General features: G+C 42.1%; 3 protein-coding genes across 17 annotated transcripts, besides 6 other annotated features; 2 read left to right on the plus strand and 1 right to left on the minus strand.

Moving 5' to 3' along the window:
• Positions 83 to 132: an enhancer, noted in NCBI's record as "active region_5529". NCBI's record gives its function as "activates an Ori minimal core promoter by ATAC-STARR-seq in GM12878 lymphoblastoid cells {active_cell/tissue: GM12878}" and the evidence as "EXISTENCE:reporter gene assay evidence [ECO:0000049][PMID:35858748]".
• Positions 280 to 11,131, plus strand: NKAPD1 (NKAP domain containing 1). Of its 9 annotated transcripts, none has more exons than XM_047427197.1 (7): positions 280 to 339; positions 868 to 897; positions 1,548 to 1,624; positions 4,196 to 4,296; positions 6,390 to 6,539; positions 7,963 to 8,016; positions 8,446 to 11,131. In XM_047427197.1, the coding sequence occupies exons 3-7, from the start codon at positions 1,556 to 1,558 to the stop codon at positions 8,951 to 8,953; spliced, it is 882 nt and encodes a 293-aa protein (XP_047283153.1). In that variant the 5' UTR covers positions 280 to 339; positions 868 to 897; positions 1,548 to 1,555; the 3' UTR covers positions 8,954 to 11,131. The 9 variants fall into 9 exon arrangements, 8 of the variants coding, with proteins under 8 accessions (XP_047283153.1, XP_047283154.1, NP_060665.3 ...); XM_047427198.1 differs by having other exon boundaries at positions 8,449 to 11,131; NR_103469.2 differs by having other exon boundaries at positions 280 to 897; positions 1,548 to 1,665.
• Positions 543 to 662: an enhancer, noted in NCBI's record as "active region_5530". NCBI's record gives its function as "activates an Ori minimal core promoter by ATAC-STARR-seq in GM12878 lymphoblastoid cells {active_cell/tissue: GM12878}" and the evidence as "EXISTENCE:reporter gene assay evidence [ECO:0000049][PMID:35858748]".
• Positions 723 to 772: an enhancer, noted in NCBI's record as "active region_5531". NCBI's record gives its function as "activates an Ori minimal core promoter by ATAC-STARR-seq in GM12878 lymphoblastoid cells {active_cell/tissue: GM12878}" and the evidence as "EXISTENCE:reporter gene assay evidence [ECO:0000049][PMID:35858748]".
• On the minus strand, positions 10,781 to 12,737 carry TIMM8B (translocase of inner mitochondrial membrane 8 homolog B). Of its 3 annotated transcripts, none has more exons than NR_028383.2 (3): positions 12,621 to 12,737; positions 11,959 to 12,291; positions 10,810 to 11,443 (listed from the first exon to the last, which is right to left on the minus strand). NR_028383.2 is itself a non-coding variant. In NM_012459.4 (2 exons), exons 1-2 carry the CDS (start codon positions 12,702 to 12,704, stop codon positions 11,276 to 11,278), a joined length of 252 nt encoding a protein of 83 aa, NP_036591.3. In that variant the 5' UTR covers positions 12,705 to 12,737; the 3' UTR covers positions 10,781 to 11,275. The 3 variants fall into 3 exon arrangements, 1 of the variants encoding a protein (NP_036591.3); NR_160400.1 differs by having other exon boundaries at positions 11,948 to 12,291; NM_012459.4 differs by lacking the exon at positions 11,959 to 12,291 and having other exon boundaries at positions 10,781 to 11,443.
• Positions 12,292 to 13,491: an enhancer, noted in NCBI's record as "BRD4-independent group 4 enhancer chr11:111957035-111958234 (GRCh37/hg19 assembly coordinates)". NCBI's record gives its function as "activates an origin of replication core promoter dependent on BRD2, P300/CBP, MED14 and CDK7 cofactors, and independent of BRD4, by STARR-seq in HCT116 cells {active_cell/tissue: HCT116}" and the evidence as "EXISTENCE:reporter gene assay evidence [ECO:0000049][PMID:35650434]".
• Positions 12,854 to 21,775, plus strand: SDHD (succinate dehydrogenase complex subunit D). Of its 5 annotated transcripts, none has more exons than NR_077060.2 (5): positions 12,854 to 12,940; positions 13,838 to 13,954; positions 14,848 to 14,992; positions 17,060 to 17,113; positions 20,786 to 21,775. NR_077060.2 is itself a non-coding variant. In NM_001276506.2 (5 exons), exons 1-4 carry the CDS (start codon positions 12,889 to 12,891, stop codon positions 19,176 to 19,178), a joined length of 432 nt encoding a protein of 143 aa, NP_001263435.1. In that variant the 5' UTR covers positions 12,854 to 12,888; the 3' UTR covers positions 19,179 to 19,190; positions 20,786 to 21,775. The 5 variants fall into 5 exon arrangements, 4 of the variants coding, with proteins under 4 accessions (NP_001263435.1, NP_002993.1, NP_001263432.1 ...); NM_001276506.2 differs by lacking the exon at positions 17,060 to 17,113 and adding an exon at positions 19,061 to 19,190; NM_003002.4 differs by lacking the exon at positions 17,060 to 17,113.
• Positions 12,855 to 13,124: an enhancer, noted in NCBI's record as "active region_5532". NCBI's record gives its function as "activates an Ori minimal core promoter by ATAC-STARR-seq in GM12878 lymphoblastoid cells {active_cell/tissue: GM12878}" and the evidence as "EXISTENCE:reporter gene assay evidence [ECO:0000049][PMID:35858748]".
• Positions 13,818 to 14,351: an enhancer, noted in NCBI's record as "H3K4me1 hESC enhancer chr11:111958561-111959094 (GRCh37/hg19 assembly coordinates)". NCBI's record gives its function as "activates a minimal SCP1, AML or CMV promoter by ChIP-STARR-seq in primed H9 embryonic stem cells {active_cell/tissue: H9 hESC(primed)}" and the evidence as "EXISTENCE:reporter gene assay evidence [ECO:0000049][PMID:30033119]".

Here is a 22,486-nt window from a genome sequence, read left to right on the forward strand (position 1 = left end):
CAGGGTAACCAGCCTGGGTACAACATCTAATTGGGTCCGGGGAACTTCAGGGAGAAAAGTCTCTTCATATCTAGTTCCGGAATGTCCCCCTTCTGGTGCCAGGCTTGCTTTTCAGTTGGGCCTGACCCACTTCTCTTCCAGGAAAGCGCCCGCCTTCCTTCTGCACCCGTCAACCTCTGGAGTGTCCTGAAAACCCTCCCTTGTGGGAGTCTCTGGGCTGCCTGTTGGTGGGACGATTTCTCAGGAGCACGACTTCCGGCCTGAAAAGGAAGTCTCCTCCTTTTTCTCCCAAACCACTTCTTCCCCCCTACCCCCCGCCACGCGAGGCTGCGGCGCACGGTATGGGTGTGTTTGTGTGTATTTGTGTGGGGAGGGCGTTTGGAGGGAAGGTTACCGGGAGCTCCGAGGCCGCTGGGGAACAGGGATCCCGGTGACAAAGATGGGGATATTTCCTCTGTCTTCCACTTGGAAACCTCAACCCCCGCTTCAGGCTCCCTAGATACTTTCTGGGGCCCAACCGAAGGCCGTAGCCATCCAAAGCGTTCCCAGCCTTTCTGGGGAGTGAAACTTACCCCCGGGGTTCGTCCTAGAGGAGCGTGAGCGGGGAATGCCCAGGTCAACCGGGCTGTCCGAATTCCGCCCCGGCTCAGCCTCCGGCCTCAGTCCGGGAGAGAGATCTGCCTGTCGGTCTGGGCTGGGGGAAACGCGGCAGTGGCCTGGGCCACAGGTGAGGGCAGAGTAACCAGTGGGAAGGCTGCGTTTTCACGAAGGACTCGGGTGAAGCTGCAGAGCTGCCTTTGAGCCCTGACTCCTTGGCTTCCTGGGTCGGAGGAGATCTTGTAATGGAGTGGTTCTTCGTCTCACTAGCAAGATGCCTGATTTCCTCAGGATCAAGGGGTGAGTGAGCGTTGGGGTGGTTGCACAAAGCTCCTGCTAGCTACACACGAAAATATTCTTGTCATCTAGTTTTTGGAAGCTTCCGTAGCAAGTAGGAAATAAAATGCCCCCAAATGGAGAAATTTAGGACATCTTTGCATTTGATGTTTTGAGTAATCAGTTTCTGTTACTGTTGACACCCGTGGTTCCTGACACTCTCAAATCTACGTATTTGCTTCAGTGCAAACTATATTGGGATTGGAGGTTTGATTTTTAATTTAGACAGTGACATACATCATTTGCCTGGGACTATGTGGCTTGGGACGTTACAGCTTTAAGGGAACTTCATCTACAAAATAGGGATGGAGATACTTGCCTCATATAAAAAGTAGTTATGAGGATTAAATAAAATGGTGCTCATGAAAGCACTTAATTTTATGTAGTCTTGTGCATTTTCAAAGAACTTTAATGTACATTATCTCCTTTCATCTCACATTAGTGTGTTTAGGCATTTCCCTCTTTTAATGGTAAAGGGAAAACTATTCTTTAGAATCTCTGACTTCTAGTTCAGTGATCTTTCCTGTACCTCATATGCTTCTTTATAAAACTTCAAGAAAAGATAAAGTAATAACAGAAATTATTACTAAACGTTATTTGTTGATTCATTTCAGATTGAAGAATGTCCCGGATTCCACTGGGGAAGGTCCTCCTGAGGAATGTCATCCGGCACACAGATGCTCACAATAAGGTGGGAGGTACAACCTAGTTACTCCTCAACGCTTACTGAAGGCAAGCAGTGTGCCAAGCATTATTTTGGAACAACTGGGAGATACAAAGAATATTCTTGTCATCTAGTTTTTGGAAGCTTCCGTACACAGTAGGAAATAAAATGATGAATAAAATAGATAATTATAATACAGTTTGATAAGTACTGTATAACAGAGATATTTGCAAAGTGCTTTGGAGCACTAAGGAGGAAATAATAAAATCTACACTGGGGAATTAGAAAAGATTTTACAGAATTAGTGGTATTTCAGCTGCTGATCTTTGAACTGGTTCTTGAATAGGTATACGTTTACCAGGTATGAAATATCATTCTGGATAGACAGCATCATGCATTAATATGGCAACGAGAAAGAGCATTAATCACTTGGGGCATGGCAAGAAATTTATCCAGAAAGCAGGGAAGGTAGGGGATAGTGGCAGAAGATAAGGCCTCAGTGGTAATTAGAGTTGGATTGTGATGTTTGGAGCTGAGACTTCTTCCTCTAGGCAATAAAGAAGCCATCAAATGTTTTTAAACAGGGTGTGGCATGATCATAGTTATATTTTAGAAAGATGGTTTGTCAGCTGGGTAGGGAATGAATCAGATGGGGAGATACAGAAGGGAGAGTAATTAGGAGGCAATTGCAGTATTACAGGTGAGAGATGATGAGGGTTCGCATGAAATTAGTGACAGCAGGGATGAAGAAGAGGAATTTAGGAGATAGAATCCAAAGAAGTTGGTGGCTAATTAGATTATAATGATAAGAATGGAATCTAATTCAGTTGACCCTTGAACAATGCAGGGGCTAGGGGCATCAACCCCCTGCATAGTCGAAAATCCATGTATAACTTTTTACTCCCTCAAAATGTAAGTGCCAATAGCCTACTACTGACTGAAAGCCATAGCGATACCATAAACAGTGGATTAACACATATTTTTTATGTTACATGTATTATATACTGTATTCTTATAGTAAAGTAGCTAGAGAAAACAACATTTCATTAAGAAAATCACATTGAGTAGGCTGAGGAGGAAGAAGAGGGACTTGTTTTGCTATCTTACAGGTGGCAGAGGTGGAAGAAAATCTGAGGATAAGTGGACCTGCACAGTTGAGATTCCTGTTGTTCAAGGTCAACTGTGTAACCACCTATGTGACTGGGTAGATGATGACAATTCTGTTAATTGAGATAAAGAACAAAAAATGGGACAATTATGATAGGAAAGGTAATTAGTTTGGTTTTCAACATGTTGATGGTGAGGTGCTTATAGGATGTCCAAGCAGTTGAAAATTCAGACTTGGAGTAGAGGAGAAAAGTTGGGGCTGGACATAAAGGTTTCGGGATTATTGATGTATAGGTTGATGATAAGAGGTCATGAGAGTAGATGAGGTCACCTAGGAGAGCACATATAATGAAAAGAGGGCCAAGGCCCCTGGTTTAGTTTTCTTCAGTAAACTGTACTACTTTTGGTTTGATCATATTATTATTATCATATCACCTGATTTTTAAAATTATGGGCGAGGGTAAAACTGTTACCCGAGCTGCCTATGCAATTATGTTAACCTGCCCCTAGTTATATAGTAAGCTTAGATTTAAAATGGTAGCTAGAAAAAGATAAATCTAGCACAGATCTAATGAAATTATGCAGGAAGACTTAGAAATAAAATGTGTTCTTTGGGTAATCACATTCTGCTTTTCAAGAAATTCCCTAGCAGCCATACTGATTATTTTATTTTATTTTATTTTTGACAAAAATTATAATATTACCAGAAGAGATTTAGCTTAGGGAGTTTAAAGACCTGTCCTTACTAGTTTTTTGACTTTGTTAAAATCTCTGAGCTTTTGTTTCTTTACAGTAAAATGTAATAATGGTAGCTGCTATATTTTCCTCATGAGATTGCTTAAGGTTCAATTGAGATGATATAATTAAAATCATATTGCATTTTGGAAATGTGGCATTATCATTTGCTAATCGCAGCATAATTGCAAGATTGATAAGGTGATGTTTGTCTGTGCAGCGGTTTAAAAATTCTATTGGGGAAGATTTCCACATATTTGAGATTTACTGGATTGGACTGTTCAGCCACTTTCTAGAGAAACCAATTTGTTTTCCAGGTTCCTGATCATAGCCCAGTCTGTAGCCCAATAATTAGTCAGATTGTATTTTCAGTTAGTTGCTTTTTTTTTTTTTTCTTTTTTTGTTGATACAGAGTCTCACTCCATCGCCCAGGCTGGAGTGCAGTGGTGCAATCTCGGCTCACTGCAACCTCTGCCTCCAGGGTTCAAGCGATTCTCCTGCCTCAGCCTCCTGAGTAGCTGGGATTACAGGTGCATGCTACCACGCCCGGCTAATTTTTGTATTTTTATTAGAGACGGGGTTTCACCATGTTGGTCAGGCTGGTGTCAAACTCTTGACCTCATGATCTGCCTGCTTTGGCCTCCCAAAGTGCTGGGATTACAGGTGTGAGCCACTGTGCCCGGCCAGTTAGTTACTTTTCTGTAATGTAAAGTTATTTTTAGTAACTTATTTTTATTTCCTTTTTAAAAATTCTAGATTCAGGAGGAATCAGATATGTGGAAAATAAGAGAACTGGAAAAACAGATGGAAGATGCTTACCGGGGGACCAAAAGGAAAATGCTACCCAGCAGTTCAAGGTGAAGTTGCAGCTCTGAGAACTAAAATAATTCTCATCTTTTTCAGAATCATCAACTTTTGTTTAAAAATACTTTGGTATATTAAGGATAAATTCAGTTCTGTGAGTCCTTAAGCCTTCCTTCTTTCGTAAATCTAGACCCAGGCATAAAGATAATGGCTGTGACGCATATGGCCCTGCTCTTTGTACTTATTTACAATGGAGAGTTAAAAAATTCTACCTGAACAATTATGAATGTGTAGGGTTCTGTGGATTCTAACCTTACCTGATAGCTTTTAACTGAAGATTTTATACTGGAATCTTGTGGTCACTAAGCTGATCAGTCATTCTATTCTCTATTAATCTTTCATTCTTTCAGGCTTTTCTTTTTGTAGCTGGAACTGCAGGTGCATGCCACTATGCCTAGCTACTTTTTTTTTGTAGAGGTGGTGTCTTGCTGTGTTCCCCAGGCTGGTATAGAATCCTGGGCTCACGCAGTCCTCCCACCTCAACCTCCCAGTGTTGGGATTATAAGCATGAGCCACTTGCCTGGCCTCAGACTTTTCTTCACCCTGTCTATTCACCCTCTTCACCAGATCAACAGCCTTTTCACATTACCTTAATAGCTTGAGTGTAAATATGAAGGATTATGCAGGCTTAGTTATCTTCCTTGTGGAGAGGCCTAGGAATGCTTGAATAATTGGGAAGATCCTTACACGCTTGTAAGTGTAAGAGCTACATATATAAGAAATACTTAAACTCTTTAGGAGCAGGGCTTGTGATTTTCTCATTTGCTGCTATATTCCTGCCAGCTAGACCAGTACCTGGTACATAGGAGGCCCTTACAATTTTTTTTTTTTTTTTTTTTTGAGATGGAGTTTCGCTTTTGTTACCCAGGCTGGAGTGCAATGGTGTGGTCTTGGCTCACTGCAACCTCCGCCTCCTGGATTCAGCCAATTCTTCTGCCTCAGCCTCCCAATCAGCTGGGATTACAGGCACCTGCCACCACGCCTGGCTAATTTTTGTATTTTTAGTAGAGACAGGGTTTCACCATGTTGGCCAGGCTGGTCTTGAACTCCTGAGCTCAAAGTGATCCACCCACCTCGGCCTCCCAAAGTGCTGGGATTACAGGCGTGAGCCACTGGACCTGGCCCCTTAAAAATTTTTGATAACCGATTAGCAGCTTACTGGCTAGTTAGTAGAAATGGTAAACAGAAGCTGGATCAGTGGTTCTCAACTTTTTTCCTACTCCAGTATTCCCATGGGTTAGACCTTGTTCCCACTGTTATTGGGACCTCTCTATAGTAAGTTGCTGGTTTGCACAGAGGGAAGTGTATTTCAGAATCTCTAGGGTAGTTTGAAGTGTCCCTTGCTATGATTATGTTCTGCTTCCCTCTTTGCATGCCCTCCTAGTTGAGAATCAGCGAGTGAACTATCACATGACATAGTCCAGAGTTGATTTCATCTCTCTATGCTTTGCAATAGGATGGGTACTAATGGTCAGATTTTTTTCTTTTTTTCTTTTTTTTTTTTCCTGAGACGGAGTCTCACTCTGTTGCCCAGGCTGGAGTACAATGGCATGATCTGGGCTCACTGCAACCTCTGCCTCCCCGGGTTCAGGCAATTTTCCTGCCTCAGCCTTCCAAGTAGCTGGGACTATAGGCGTGTGCCACCACACCTAACTACTTTTTTTGTATTTTTAGCAGAGACAGGGTTTCACCATGTCCCCCAGGCTGGTCTTGAACTCCTGACCCCAAGTGATCCACTCGCCCCGGCCTCCCAAAGTGCTGGGATTACAGGCATGAGCCACTGCACCTGGCCTGGTCAGATTTTTTTCCACTGGACTTTACAAATGTACAGAGGAACAGATAATCAAAGTGCTGGGATTACAGGCATGAGCTACTGCACTAGGCCTGGTCAGATTTCTTCCACTGGACTTCACAAATGTATAGAGAGGAGCAGATAATGTCTTTGCCTTTTTTTTTTTTTTTTTTAAACAGTATCATGTTGTTTCCTTCCCCCTCAGCTTGTTCCATGAGTTTTGTGCATGATGTTCCATAAAGTAAACTCACAGATTGCTTTTACATCTAAAAGTTCTTCTGCTTTCTCTTTTAGCCGGATGCGCAGTGATGGTTTTGATGAAGAAAGTCAAAGATACTATTGGAGGCCAAAGAATGAAATTTCTGGGACACTGGAAGATGATTTTCTTAAGGCTAAATCCTGGAATAAAAAGTTCTATGATTATGAAGCAAACATGCCAGACAGGTTTGTGATTAATTCCTGTGAGCATTAATATTTGGCCTGAGAACGTGTACTTATCAAAATTAATTGTCCCCACAAAAAACTTGTGTACAAAAGTTCATACCAGCATTATTAATAATGGCCCCAAAAAATAATGGCCAAGTAATCCAAATGTCTGTCAACTGATGAATGGGTAAACAAAATGCGATATATCCATACAATGGAATATTATTTGGCAGTAAAAGAAATGAAGTACAGATACATGTTACAACGTGGCCTTGAAAACATCATGCTAAGTGAGAAGGAAGAAGCCAAGTCACGAAAGACCGCATATTGTATGATTCTATTTATGTACTATGTCCATACATAACTGTATGATTCCATTTATGTGGTAGGCAATTCCATAGAGACAGAAGGCAGATTAGTGATTGCCCTGGGCTGGAGGCACTACACTTTGAATGCCATGATATGTGAATTATACTTCAATAAAGTTGTTATTTAAAAAAAATAGGCCAGGTGCTGTGGCTCATGCCTGTAATCCCAGTACTTTGGGAGGCCGAGGCGGGCGGATCACGAGGTCAAGAGATTGAGACCATCCTAGCCAACATGGTGAAACCCCAGCTCTACTAAAAATACAAAAATTAGCCGGGCGTGGTGGCATGCGCCTGTAGTCCCAGCTACTCGGGAGGCTGAGGCAGGAGAATCACTTGAACCCAGGAGGTGGAGGTTGCAGTTGAGCCGAGATTGCACCACTGCACTCCAGCCTGGCAACTGAGTGAGACTCTGTCTCAAGAAAAAAAGAAAAAAATAATAATAAGGCTGGGCGCGGTGGCTCATGCTTGTAATCCCAGCACTTTGGGAGGCCAAAGCGGGCAGATCCATGAGGTCAGGAGTTTGAGACCAGCCTGGCCAACATAATGAAACCCCATCTCTACTAAAAATACAAAAATTAGCCAGGCATGGTAGCATGTGCCTGTAGTCCCAGCTACTCGGGAGGCTAAGGCAGGAGAATCACTTGAAATCGGGAGGCGGAGGTTGCAGTGAGCTGAGATCACGCCACTGCACTCCAGCCTGGGCAAGAGTGAGACTCCATCTCAAAAAAAAAAAAAAAAATTGTCCCCATGTAGACAGCATGATATTATGAAGTGTTTTTGGAAAAGTGCTTCATAGCTAAAGAGCAGAGTGTAAGAGTTCGTTAGTGTTTCTTAAGGAAAGCAATGGCAAGTTCTCTTACAAATGGACAAAATAATCTTGTATGTCTGAAGTGATAGTGTACAGTACAGGAAATGTAGCTGTTACTGAGCTATAATGGGGGCTTGGTTCTACCATATCTCTACTTTGTGTTTATGTTTGTGTATGCATGTACTCCAAAGTCTTTCTAATGTTGCTTTAATTTCCAAAAATGTATGCATTGCTTTAACAATACATGTGATGTGTCATATTACAGATGGGGTCACAGTGGTTATAAAGAGTTATACCCTGAAGAATTTGAAACAGACAGGTAAGGAAAATAGGCTTACTGAAAGAAACTAAGATGGTACAAAATCTGTATTATAAATTGATTTCTTAACTTTTACGAAGAATATACTTGCCATCAAAAATGTAGCTAGAGAAACAATAGGTGATTTAGTTAGGAGGTGATCCCTGTTTTCCCATTCTCTGGTTGATGTTTGGCATGTCTGTAAGCATTTTGGTTTTTATATATAGTATTCCATACAGTAACTCAGTATGGCAGCTTAGAATTTTTACCTTCATTTTAAAGATGAGGAAACAAAAACTCAATGAGAATATTAAAGTGTTAAAGTATACATTAAAGTGCTTATTTAAAATTCAGATGTTAACCTCAATTTTTTAATCTAGAATGCAAAATATTAAAATAATACGCTTTTTTTTTACATAAAAGCTTCTATTTTTTAACTTTTCTTATTAGTAGTGATCAGCAAGATATTACCAACGGGAAGAAAACATCTCCCCAGGTAAAGTCATCTACCCATGAATCCCGCAAACACAAGAAGTCAAAGAAATCCCACAAAAAAAAGCAGAAAAAAAGGTCACACAAAAAACAGAAGAAAAGCAAAAAGGAAGCCACAGATATAACAGCAGATTCCTCGAGTGAGTTCTCAGAAGAAACTGGGGCTTCTGGTACAAGGAAAGGGAAACAACCACATAAACGCAAGAAAAAATCCAGGAAAAAGTCTCTCAAAAAACCTGCTTTATTCTTAGAGGCAGAAAGTAACACTTCACATTCAGATGATTCAGCATCCAGCAGTTCTGAGGAAAGTGAGGAAAGAGACACTAAGAAAACCAAAAGGAAAAAGAGAGAGAAAAAAGCCCATACCTCTGTAGCCAACAATGAAATACAGGAGAGGACAAACAAACGCACAAATTGGAAAGTAGCTACAGATGAAAGGTCTGCTGAGAGCTCAGAGGATGACTAAATGGGAAACACTTTTGTTTTCCACATGACTGTGGATATTTACAGTTCTTACTCCTTGTGGTTTTGCCAGTGACTCTTGTTCAGCACGGGGCCTGAGGTCAGAGCTGTCTTGTGCCATCTGTATGTTCTGACAGACGTCTTGTCTTCTATTTTGGCGTTAAGCTTGATCCCCTTTTCTTGTTAAAAGGGAATCTGGTATTTTGTTATGAAGGTTTCTTGAAGAGATTATTTTTTTTTGCAATTAATTACGTTTAGTGTAGAGTGCATATACAGCAAATTAAAGGACCCAGAAAGCTGGATCCAATAGTGACCTGGGTACACCAATCGGAATATTGAATTTGGGGAAGTCAAGGGCTGGGATCAAGAGGTGGATTGGAACTAATGCCATGTAGGATGGTATGACAAGGCAACACTGTATTGCTCTCTGTTTATATAGCAGGTGTCACAACTAACTTGTCTTTAGCCTTGGTGCTTTGATCCTTCTATATTTTGACCCCACAGGTGTGGTCCGGTTTACTTAATCAGGACATGGGCCTAAGAACAAACCTTTTCCCTTCATGATAACATCCATAGACAACTTATTAGAAGGGACTAGAGTTTTTGCAAATTTCCCTGCTGGATGGGGCCTATAGCTATACTTAGTATATGCCTAAACATGGTAATTGGATAGTAAATGGTTTTCTAGTTCCATTGCTGTATATTTGCCTAAATGGACTTGTGTTCAAATTATTTCTTCAATTGTCATAGATAATCCTGTACCAAATGGGGAAGAATTAGGAAATAATCATGTTGTCTAATGGTACTCTGGATTCAGGGCAGCAACTGCCATTTAAATGTTGTCTTGTTCATTTCTAAATCTGTTCATGAAGTTTAGGTTTTCCCTGAAACTAAGTTGAATTATTTCCAAAATGAAACAGGCTTCTCAGGGACATATCCACTTCTTCCCAGTCTGCCTTTGGATTAAAGCACCAAGCAGAGACCACATTAATTCCCTTTGCTATACTGTGATCCTTAGTATGTTAATTCTTAAGAAACCAACATATCACTGAAAGAAGGCTGGCAGAACGCAAGTGCATTTTTTCACTGTGGGAAGAAAGATCAAGTGACGTATTATTTTTTCCTGGTTGTCACTTAATGGGCTGAGTAAAAAGCTTGAAAACTCAGACTTTCGGTCTTGGTTCTGCCACTCATTGGTTATGAGGAGGCCCAGAGCAGGTAAGTTCACCTTCCTGGCCTTACTTTCCTGATGTGTAATACGGAATTACTTCACAGTAGCATGACAGTATAAGACACCAGCAGTAGATACAACTATGATGACATTCCATGAGTTGGTATTTTTAGTTCTAACTGCTAAATTTGTTCTCTTTACGGGACAGATTTCTAATAAAGTGCTTGGTCTTAAAATACATGGTTGGACAGAGGTGCCCTATCCCTTAACTATGAGCAGGTGCTACCTTTTGGGATATTTATTTTAAATTTTAATACTTTGGTACTCAATTGTCAGTGTTCCATGGTGTGTATTTTTATTTTTGGGATTAGTGGGGGTCTAAAGGGAGAAGAATAGTCTCTAATTACTACCTCTTAACCTAAAGCAATTATTTTGTTCCTGGAGCAAGTTAAATCTTTGTTGGAAGGAGCTTTGGCCATATATTTTTTAGCATGCATTGTTTCTGTGCCCTGAAAGTACCTGAAAGGTTTTAAGCACAGACTCAGGAAAATGTGCCAGTAGAACAGGCCATCTCCAGGAAATTGGCTCTATTTGGGTCCTGACCTTCCCTTCCTCCCAAGTTAGCAGGCTTGTTCTTTCGCAAGGAATACACATCTTGCCTTTTTTTTTTTTTTTTTGCCATGTTTTCCTTTTCTTGGTCATGTATAAGCAATAAAGCTGTTTTTTGTTCTTCATCTTTCTTAACCCCAAATTTTCTTCTATGCCTTAGGCTTCGATGGTTCTTCCAACCCCCTTAATATGGCTTAGGGTGGTTTTTCAAAACCTACAATCCCCCATTTGCACTACTGGCCATGGAACATTTATTTCTAGTGTTCCTGCCAATCAGAGATCTCTATATTAAATTCTAAAATGGGATTAAAAGAAGAGTTGGAGAATTCACACTTATTGAGTAACTGATGTCATACAACCTGGAATTTCTGAATTCCAAATAAATAAATTTCACTCTTTGAACATTTCATCTTTTACTTTTTAGCACCAACAGACTTGATAACAGCCTGATGCTGATCTGACAATGGGTTGATAGCCTTCCCCCACTGACCCTTAAATCTGCTTAGTAACAAGTCCTTTGCTTCTGTCATTCTCCTGGGGGATGGCCTACTGCCCTCCTTTCTGTACAATCTGGGCAAACCGACTGGTGATGGCAAGAGTGGTGTCAATGAAGCGGTCTACACAGCTGGAGAGACAATTTTCAGTGCGAGAGTCTAGGCGATTCCCTGGCTTCTCCACACATTTATCCCAACATAACTCCATGAAGTGATGCACCTAAAAGGAAAGAAAAATAGTAACCATTGGGGTCTGCAGATAGGCCTAACTCTTGTTTATTAACTTCTCACTTTTTGACACCTGACAAAACCATTCTTTAAATCAACCACGGAGTCACTTTGGGCTCTTCTCTTTCTTCATTTCCTAATTAGTCACCAATATTGATCCAGATCCTCGTCCCTACAGATTGTACATTCTCAGGTAGGACTAATAACCTTTTATATTCCCCAAAGTAGCTAGCACCATTGTGAACCAACTAGGGAACCAATTAATTTTCCCAAACTATTGCACTCATTTTATTCCAAACCTATCCCCTAGACAAGGTAATTCTTCCATTAACCTTTTGGGGGTTATGGATCCACTCCCCAGAAAAATGCACATACAGGCACAGAAATTATGTGCACTGTCATTAGAATGTTCAGGGCCCAAAGATTTCTAGCCAGGGTTCTTGCTGGTCATCCGAGCACCCTCTTCCTCCCACCCAAAAGGAAAAAACCATTTTACCAAGAGCTTACTATTTGTGAGGCTGGGTACTAAGAAATCAGTTCTCTCTAAGGTCCTCAAGGATAGCTGTCATCACCTCCCATTTAAGAGGCGTGATTATGTAGTCCAAGGTCATGTAGCCAGCAAGAAGTCAGGCCGCGTTAGAACCATGTCCGAAGGGCTCCAAACCCTTGTTCTACATCCATAGTCTACAGCGACTACTTCAGAGTCCACCTTCCTCCGATAATGTTCTAGTCGTTTTCAAATACATTGTCGCATATGATCCTCACAATCCAGTGAGGCAGTGGGGTGACGGCGACACCAAAACCCACAGTGGATGAGTATCTTTTCTACGGGCACGTGGCCTGCAAGGAGCAGAGGGAGGATGAGAACCCAGATCTTTCGAATGCCAGCCCAGTCATGTCGCCGGCTAACTAGTCTCCCGTACCCTTGCGTCGCCCAAATCTTCCCTGTTTTACACCTTTTCTTTTCTCCACGCTACGCTTATATACCTGGCACCTGAGCACTACCGGTCACCAGGGACAGGAGAGCCATAACTTTGTCTTTCGTGAGGGGAATGGGATGCAGCCGGGATCGAGCACCAGTGAGCCGCCAGTGTACAGACCTCCGAGCGTGCCCAGGACCACCAAGGAAGGTGAAACTTCCTTTCCCTTCACCCTCCCCGTCCCCGCACCTGTGCAGTAAACTGCGCCTTCTGCTGCTCGGCGGCCACCAGGCGCTGCAACTCCGCTTCATCGGCTTCGCCCAGCTCCGCCATTGTTCGCCTCAGGCTCGCCACCTTCCGACAGCTGTGTTTGCGCATGCGCGACGGGTGTGCACCGCCTCTCGACTTCCGGTTCACCCAGCATTTCCTCTTCCCTGTTTTCTTTCGTCGTCGTGGGTGGGAATTGTCGCCTAAGTGGTTCCGGGTTGGTGGATGACCTTGAGCCCTCAGGAACGAGATGGCGGTTCTCTGGAGGCTGAGTGCCGTTTGCGGTGCCCTAGGAGGCCGAGGTGAGGGGTCTTCCCACCCTGAGGTGCTTAGCGTAGCCTCCAGCCAGGGAAGGGGATGGAAGTGAGGACTCATCTGCCGGGTGGGAGATCTCTTGAGGAGAAGAAAATACCGAAATCACAGCAATGACCACTGTAGTCTAGGGGTCCAGATGTTTACCCGAAGGTATATTTCACTTGCTGTGAGCTGACGAGTTGAGGGAATAATCAGAAAGAGAGCTCCCTCTGGAAGTCGCAGTCCTGATGAGGCTAATCCACATAGCAGTTCTGTTTTCTCCCCGTTCACTGTCCCTAGAATGCTCCCCACTCGCTCCCACCCTGAGTCGGGAAAGAGGGTTAGGAGCTTGCCCATTTCTTCTGGAGTTGGTGTGTTTGGATGTGGGAGTGGAGGGGGGATCAGTTCGAAAATCATTTAACCTGGGCATTTGTGTTACCTCAGGTACTGTAGTAATGCTAGGATACAAATGTGAAGAAAACGTAGTTCCCGCCCTCAACGAGCTTTCATTCTGATGAGGAAAACACTGTCATAGTAGTCCGGGCAAGATGAGGTCCTGAACTAGGAAAGTAGCACAAAGAAAAGAAGATTGTCTCAAGAACTGTTAAAGAGATACGCCAATAGGATTTGGCGATTGAATTTAGGGGAAAAGTCTCTCATGATTTCCAGATTACTGAGTTAGGTTAAAGAATGCCTGAGGTGTCATTAAATAAAGTAGGGAACATGCAGATGTTCCCTGGTCTTAACTTCACAGTAACCCCAGTGAAATAGATGCTATCTTCATTTTACAAATAAGATGTTATCCCCTATTTATTGTTAAGTAGCTTACCTATGGTCATTTAGAAAGTTTGTCAGTCCTGTTAAAGGAGAGGTTCTTATGATCATCCTAATGACTCTTTCCTCAGCTCTGTTGCTTCGAACTCCAGTGGTCAGACCTGCTCATATCTCAGCATTTCTTCAGGACCGACCTATCCCAGAATGGTGTGGAGTGCAGCACATACACTTGTCACCGAGCCACCATTGTATGTTCTCTCCATCGCTGCTGCTTTCTGGGCTCTAGCCATCTTTACCTTCACTAATGGTCATGCCTTTAGCAGGACTTCCTACCTGTAGGGGGGACTCTTGTGTCCAACTTTGTCAAATGAAGACCTAGTTTACACCTTTGGGCAGACAGTGCCATTATGGTTGAATGATGCCATTTATAATCATAGAAGACCTTCTAGCCTAAGTCTTTACAAATTTTTTTCTTTTGTTTTCTTTTTTTTTGAGACAGAGTCTCGCTCTGTTATGCAGGCTGGAGTGCAGTGGTGCGATCTCGGCTCACTGCAACCTCCACCTTCTGAGTTCAAGCAATTCTCCTGCCCCTGCCTCCCGACTAGCTGGGATTACAGGCGCCCACCACCATGCCCAGCTAAGTTTTGTACTTTTAGTAGAGACGGGTTTCACCGTGTTGGCCGGGCTGGTCTCAAACTCCTGACCTCCTCAAACTCCTGACCTCAGGTGATCTGCCCACCTCAGCCTCCCAAAGTGCTGGGATTGCAGGCGTGAGCCACCACGCCTGGACCACTAACTTACATTCATAAGGTGTCTGTTCACTTCACTGAACCAAGACTGGCTTAATTCTGTAGCAATACAGCAATTCTGTTTTTTATCCATCTTCTTGGATCTGTCTTCTAATCAATATGTAGGCATTGAGATACCCTTGTGCTAAAAGACTTCAAAAAACAGAGATAAAGCCTTCAAAAAACAGAGATAGCTTCTCTCAACTACTATTTTGATATTTTACTTCCTTTGTACTCAGAGTTATATCCTATATGTACACTGCCTGTCAGTTTGGGTTACTGTGTGGCATATGTTGAACATGAAAGATGTGTGTTTCTCACATCAACTTTTATGAATCTGGTCCTTTTTGTAGCTGGCTCCAAGGCTGCATCTCTCCACTGGACTAGCGAGAGGGTTGTCAGTGTTTTGCTCCTGGGTCTGCTTCCGGCTGCTTATTTGAATCCTTGCTCTGCGATGGACTATTCCCTGGCTGCAGCCCTCACTCTTCATGGTCACTGGCAAGTATAGCAATTCCAAATATAGTTGTCTGCTCAGTTTGTTTGCTGTGAGCTTGTCTTATGTATTATATATGAGGGAGAAGTTGATTGAAATGCCCTAAATTTGTTGAAAACTTTAAAATATATATAAAATATGTATATGCCTAGATTTATATATCTGCCTGCCTATTCAATGTCTTTCAATTCGATTTCCGTATCTAATAGCATTTTGAATGTAGCCTGTCAAACTGAATTTCTGATCTCCCCTAATCTGTTCCTCCTGCACTCTTGCCCCATCTGAATTAATGGCATTTCCAGTTTTCTCTTTGTTCAAGTCTAAACCTGGTAAGCTCCAAACTTGGTCATTATCCTTGACTCTAGTAGTAGTCTCCTAACTGGTTCCCATTTGTGTTCATTCCCAACACAGCATACCCAGTGATCCTGTTAAAATGTTAATTAGAATAAGACATTCCCCTTCTCAAAACCCTATTTTGTCTCTTCATGTTACTCAAAGTCAGAATTCTTAGGGTTGTCTGTAGACTCTACATGATTGAACCACCCTGTTTCTTCCCTCATTTTTAGCTGCTCTCTCTCTCATTCACACTGCCTTCCTTGAGATTCCTTGAACATGCCAGGGACATTCCAGGTCTCAGGGCTTCTCTTACTGCTTCTGCCTGAAACTCTTTTTCTAGCTATACACTTGGCTTGTTCCTTCATCTCCTTCAGGTCTTGAATGCCATTCTCTCAACAAAGCCTTCCCTAACCACTTATTCAAAATTGCAGTTTCTGTCCTGCCATTCCTTATCTCTCTTGCTTGTTTTATTTTTCTCAATAGTACTTACTGCCTTCTAATATACTACATCATCTGTTCATTATTTTATATAGTAATTGCTTCCTTGCATTTTATCACCCAAATGTATATCCCTAAATAGTATAGTTTATTCTTGCCTCTTAAAAAAAAAAAAGAGATGTATGTGGGTGGATTATTTTGTTATTTTTACTGTATTTGTTTGCTGTTGTGCCTCTAGAGCCTAGAACTACTCTCTGGTACGTGACATATAGCACTCAGTAAATACTTGCTGAATGAATGAGCATCCAGCGCCTGTTTGTTTGTTTGTTTGTTTGTTTATTTTTTGAGACAGAGTCTCGCTCTGTTGCCCAGGCTGGAGTGCAATGGTGTGATCTCAGCTCACCACAACCTCCGCCTCCCAGGTACAAGCGATTCTCCCTGCCTCAGCCTCCCAAGTAGCTGGGATTACAGGCGTGCACCACCACATCCGGCTAATTTTTTTGTATTTTTAGTAGAGACGGGGTTTCGCCATTTTGGCCAGGCTGGTCTGGAACTCCTGACCTCAGGTGATCTGCCCGCTTCAGCCTCCTAAAGTGCTGGGATTACAGGCGTGAGCCACCATGTCCGGCCCAGCTTTTGTTTATTTTATCTGGTATAGTTTGTATGACTTTCTACGTAATGAACCTTCTAAAATGAGGGTAAATGACAGGTTGGGTTCCTTGAGTTGTTCTTTTTAAGTTTTGCAAGGGACAATATGTTGTCATTGTGGGGGGTAGGGAGCCACTTTCGGATTGTTGAAACTGGAAGTACTTTGGAGAGTATCTTAACCAACTCTTTTATTTTACAGATTTGGAAACTAAGACCCAGGGAGGTTAAGTGACTTGTCAGAATCATTTTCTAGCTAGTGTTAAAGATTTTTTTTTTCTTTTTTTTTTGGGACGGAGTCTCACTCTCACCCAGGCTGGAGTGCAGTGGTGTGATCTTGGTTCACTGCAACCTCTGCCTCCTGGGTTCAAGCAATTCTCATGCCTCAGCCTCCCAAGCAGCTGGGATTACAGGCATGCGCCAGCACACCTGGCTCAGTTTTGTATTTTAAATCGAGACGGGGTTTCACCATGTTGTCCAGGCTGGTCTTGGACTCCTGACCTCAAGTGATCCTCCCACCTTGGCCTCCCAAAGTGCTGGGATTATAGGTGTGAACCACCGTGCCCAGCCTAAAGGGGTTTTAATTATCTGGTTTTGTAGGACTGGTTAGGAGAATGAGTTGTTGTTGTTGATGTTGTTTTTTAACCACACAGACCTTTCCAAATAAAAGATTCCAGTTGCATATGAAATATTAGATCACAAGTACAGTAAGTAATATTTCTCTAACATGTCATCCCTCTTGAAGGAGCTGTCTATAATGTGCTCCACTTCCTCAACACTGAGTCTCTTTTAGCCTGTATTAATTGGGGTCTTATCCCAACTATATAACTTAGGTTATTCTTACCAAGGGCACTGAAGGCCTTCATCTTTCCAAATCCGGTTGTCTATTTTCTGCCCTCCACTTGCTTGAAGTCTCAGCCGCCTTCAACTCAATTAACAATTCTCCCCATAAGTCACTTTTCTTTGGCTTTCCAGATGCATAGAAGTCTCCTCTGCCAGATCCTTCTCCTCTTGTCTGACCTCGAGATGACAAAATCTCCAGGGCTGAGTCATGGCCTTCTTAATTTCTCCATCTGTACCCTTTTTTAGGTGAGCTCAGATCTGACCTGTTTTTCTGAGCTGCAGACTTGTTTATCTAATTGTCTAATTGACATCCACTTGGATGTCTGATAGTTATCCCAGATCTAACATTGGCCAAATCGCTCTTTTTTCCCCCCAAATCTCCCTTGATTTCTCCTTTAAAACCCCCTTCTCAAAGCTATGCTCAAACTAAAATTCTTAGGAGTCATTCTAGATATTTCTTTTTGTTCTTACCCCACTTATTCCATCAGTTCTGTTCTTTCTTTAAAAAATAGTCTGAATCGGCCAGGCGTGGTCTCACGCCTGTAATCCTAGCACTTTGGGAGGCCGAGGCGGGCGGATCATGAGGTCAGGAGTTTGAGACCAGCCTGGCCAATATGGTGAAACCTTGTCTCTACTAATAATACAAAAATTAAGCTGGGCGTGGTGGCACACGCCTTTAGTCCCAGCTACTTGGGAGACTGAGGCAGAAGAACCGCTGGAACCCAGGAGGTGGAGGTTGTAGTGAGCCAAGATCGTGCCACTGCACTCCAGCCTGGGTGACAGAGTGAGACTCTGTCTCAAAAAAACAAAACTCTGAATCGGTCGAGGGGAAGGGGAGGGAGAGCACTAGGATAAATACCTAATGCACGCGGAGCTTAAACCCTAGATGACGGGTTGATAGGTGCAGCAAACCACCATGGCACATGTATACCTGTGTAACAAACCTGCACGTTCAGCACATGTATCCCAGAACTTAAAGTAAAAGAAGAAAAAAAAAAAGGAAAATGGACATTATTAGAAAAAAAAATAGTCTGAATTGTCACTTTGCACCCTGTCACCAGCCTAGGTTAAGACAACAGTCTCACGTAGGCTACTTCGGTTGCCTTCTAACTAGTTTCCTCTTCAGTTGTTGCTCTGTCCCCCACCCACTCTGTTCATTCATCACACTACAGCCATAGTGACCTTTTTAAAACGTAAAATTATATTCCTCCAAAGTAGATATACAAATGGCCAATAAGCACATCAGAAATTGCTCAGCATCATTTGTCATTAGAGAAATGCAAATCAACACCACAATGAGATGCCACCTCACACCCCATTAGGATGGCTGTAATAAAAGATGGGCAGTTTTAAGTGTTGCTGAGGACTTGGAGAAATTGGAACCCTCGTGGTTCTGCTGGGAATATAAAACGTTTCAATCACTTTGGAAAACATTCTGGCAGTTACAACAAAAAGTTAACCTTAGAGTTACCATCTGACTCGGCGATCTACTTTTAGGTGTATACCCAAGAGAACTGAAAACGTGTCCACGCAAAAAACTTGTACAGGAATGATCATAGCAGCATTATTTATAATAGCCAAAGAGTGGAAACAATCCAAATGGCTGTCAGTGGATGAATAGCTAAACAAAATATGGTGTATTCATACAATAGAATATTATTCAGCCATACAAAGGAATGATGTATTGATAAATGCTATGACATGGATGAACATTGAAAACATTATGCTAAGTTGACACAAAGGCCATATATTGTATGGCTTTTTTTTTTTTTTTTTTTTTTTTGAGACAGAGTTTTGCTCTTGTCGCTCAGGCTGGAGTGCAATGGTGCGATCTTGGCTCGGCACGATCTCGGCTCAGCACGATCTCAGCTTACTGCAACCTCCGCCTTTCGGGTTCAAGCGATTCTCCTGCCTCAGCCTCCCAAGTAGCTGGCATTACAGGCATGTGCCACCACGCCTGGCTAATTTTGTATTTTTTGTAGAGATGGGGTTTCTCCTTGTTGGTCAGGCTGGTCTTGAACTCCCAACATCAGGTGATCCGCCCACTTCACCCACCCAAAGTGCTGGGATTACAGGTGTGAGCCACCACGCCCAGTGGTGTATGGGTTCTTTTATATGAAATGTCTAGAACAGGCAAAGCCATAGAGACAGAAAGTAAATTTGTAGTTGGGTAGTGGGCTAAGAGGTAGAGGGTTTCTTTTTGGGGTAATGAGAATGTTCTGGAATTAAATGATGATTGCACAACTCAATATACTAAAAACCAGTGGATTATATACTAAAAAGCGTGAATTTTTTCTGGCGTTTGACTTACATTGCAATAAAACTGTTATAAAAATAGTAAAATTAGGTCACTCCTAATCTCAGGCACTCCCTGCTTAAAATGTATCAGTGGTTTCCTATTATATTTCATATAAAATTCAGATTCCTTATCATGACCTTCAAGACCCTATGCAACCGACCCCTGCCTTCCTCTGATCTCTGCTTCACCCATGTGCTCCAGCCACACAAATCTTACTATTCATTAGAGATGCCACTTTGGTTTGGATGTTCTCATTCATGTCTTCCTTTCTAAAGTGTTTCTTCTCAGTACATATATATTTACTTTTTCCTTCTCATTCACTAGTATATTCCATAAGGGTAGGGATGCTGTCTCACTTACTATACTCCCAACATTTATGACAGATTCTGGCACATGATATCTACTTAATAAATTCTTTTTGAATTAATTAAAAATACTGTAGAGTTTTAGTTATTTTTAGTTATTGGGGTGAAAGGATCACTTGCAGCCAAGAGTTCAAGACCAGCCTGGGCATCATGGTGAGACCGCATCTTTAAAGAAATAAAAAACAGGCCAGGCGCAGTAGCTCACGCCTGTAGTCCCAACACTTTGGGAGGCTGAGGTGGGCGGATCACAAGGTCAGGAGTTCGAGACCAGCCTGGCCAATATGGTGAAACCCTGTCTCTACTAAAAATACAAAAATTAGCTGGGTGTGGTGGTGGGCGCCTGTAGTCCCAGCTACTTGGGAGGCTGGGGCAGGAGAATCACTTGAACCCGGGAGGCGGAGGTTGTAGTGAGCCGAGATCGTGCCACTGCACTCCAGCCTGGGCAAAAGAGCGAGACTCTGTCTCAATAAATAAATAAATAAATAAATAAATAGAAGGAAATAAAAAACAATTAGCCGGGCATGGAGGCATGCTCCTATAGTCCCAGCTACTTGGGAGGCTGAGGCAGGAGGATCACTTGAGCTCAGGAGTTCGAGGCTGTAGTGAGCTATGATCAGGCCACTGCACTCCAGCGTGGGCAACAGAGTAAGACTTTGTCTCTAAAGAAAAGTCACTAGAAATAGACTTACTGACATACACACGCAAAAGGCTATACAGAATCCCCTAAAGAAGCAAACAGTGACAGTGGAGTGGCAAATGGAGACATTGCATTTGAACTTGACAGATTGTTTTTTTGCAGCCAAGTTATCTGTATAGTCTTCTAATTTCACTGTGGTTTTTTATTGATGTTATGATTTTTTCTTTTTCTTTAGGGGCCTTGGACAAGTTGTTACTGACTATGTTCATGGGGATGCCTTGCAGAAAGCTGCCAAGGCAGGGCTTTTGGCACTTTCAGCTTTAACCTTTGCTGGGCTTTGCTATTTCAACTATCACGATGTGGGCATCTGCAAAGCTGTTGCCATGCTGTGGAAGCTCTGACCTTTTTGACTTCATACTTTGAAGAATTGATGTATGCCTCTTTGCCTCTGCTTTGTCATGCCATTAAGCTCACAATAAGGAAGAAATAACAGATAAGTCCATTGGTGGACAGCCTTCTTCTCTTAATCACAAGATTATTTTCAGAATTTAATCTTTGAGGAAAAGGTTTGAGAGGAATTATATCTAAGTTGTGAGACTGAGTTCTATATTCTGGTGAGTTAATGGGGTTGCCTCCCAGCTTCTTATAAGACTCACAGTATAACTAAACATGATATATCAGCTTTTGCCTTTCAATTTATCAATCTCTTAAAGAGAATCCAACTTTATTACGATTAGTATATGATCAAACTTCCATATTTGCCTTGGGAATAATGGACAAAGGGAAATACTCTTAATTCATGAATAAAAACTTTGCAGAAAATTAGACAGTGTTTAATTTTCGAAAACTTCCCTCTCTAGACAGTAGATACCACCTACTGATGGTTACATATACTAGGGAAATTTTAAAATTAGGAAATGCTGATAGCTCATATTATAAATTTCTAAATCCTAGGAAGAAACGCTTGGAGTGCTTCTGAATATACAGAAGTTCCATTTAAGGGCAAGTTTCCCTGTAGATGTATCAAAATACTACCAACTGTAAATTGAGATTTAATTCCCAAATGTATTCTACTTGTTCTAAAACAATCTGTCCACAAATATAAAACTATAAGTAATAAATTGTTATTTTCGCACAATGGGAATCTCTAATGTGAAAATGTATTCTATGAAAATAATTTTTTTAAATAAAATGTTATATAATAAAAGTGTCTTCTATGCTTTTATATATTAGCTATCAGTAGTTTTATTCATTAGAATTAGGTGTCCATTGCATCCACAGCATGAAAACAAAATTGGGTTTTTTTTTTTTTTTGAGACGGAGTCGCACTCTGTCACCCAGGTTGGAGTGCAGTGGCGTGATCTCGGAGCACTGCAAGCTCCGCCTCCCAGGTTCATGTCATTCTCCTGCCTCAGCCCCCCGAGTAACTGGGATTACAGGCACCCACCACCACGCCCAGCTAATATTTTGTATTTTCAGTGGACATGGGGTTTCACCGTGTTAGCAAGGATGGTCTCGAACTGCTGACCTCGTGATCCACCCATCTTGGCCTCCCAGAGTGCTGGGATTACAGGCATGAGCCACCCCGCCCAGCCAAAATTGAGTGTTTAAATTTTCTTCTGGGGCTTAGCAGTTAGGTAAATCAGACACAAAGTACTGGAAAACAAAAAGGACTTGTAATAGGCAGAAAAATACCAAGTGTATAAGTAATTTGGTATAAACAGAGTATAAGGTTTAGTATTTAGGAATAAGAACTATGTCCAGATTATGGTGTTCTGTGAATACCAGCCTTTGGAATTCATATTATGTTCTATGTGTATTTAGTCTGGTCTAAGAGTTGAGTGTAAGGCATGATGCTGTCTTCTATCAATATAGAGTAACTGGGACTAAGCACATTTTACTCACCAAGGACCTTACTGGGAAGCTGAGGCAAAGG

Source organism: Homo sapiens, chromosome 11 (assembly GCF_000001405.40).
Source record: "Homo sapiens chromosome 11, GRCh38.p14 Primary Assembly".
Lineage (NCBI taxonomy): Eukaryota > Metazoa > Chordata > Mammalia > Primates > Hominidae > Homo > Homo sapiens.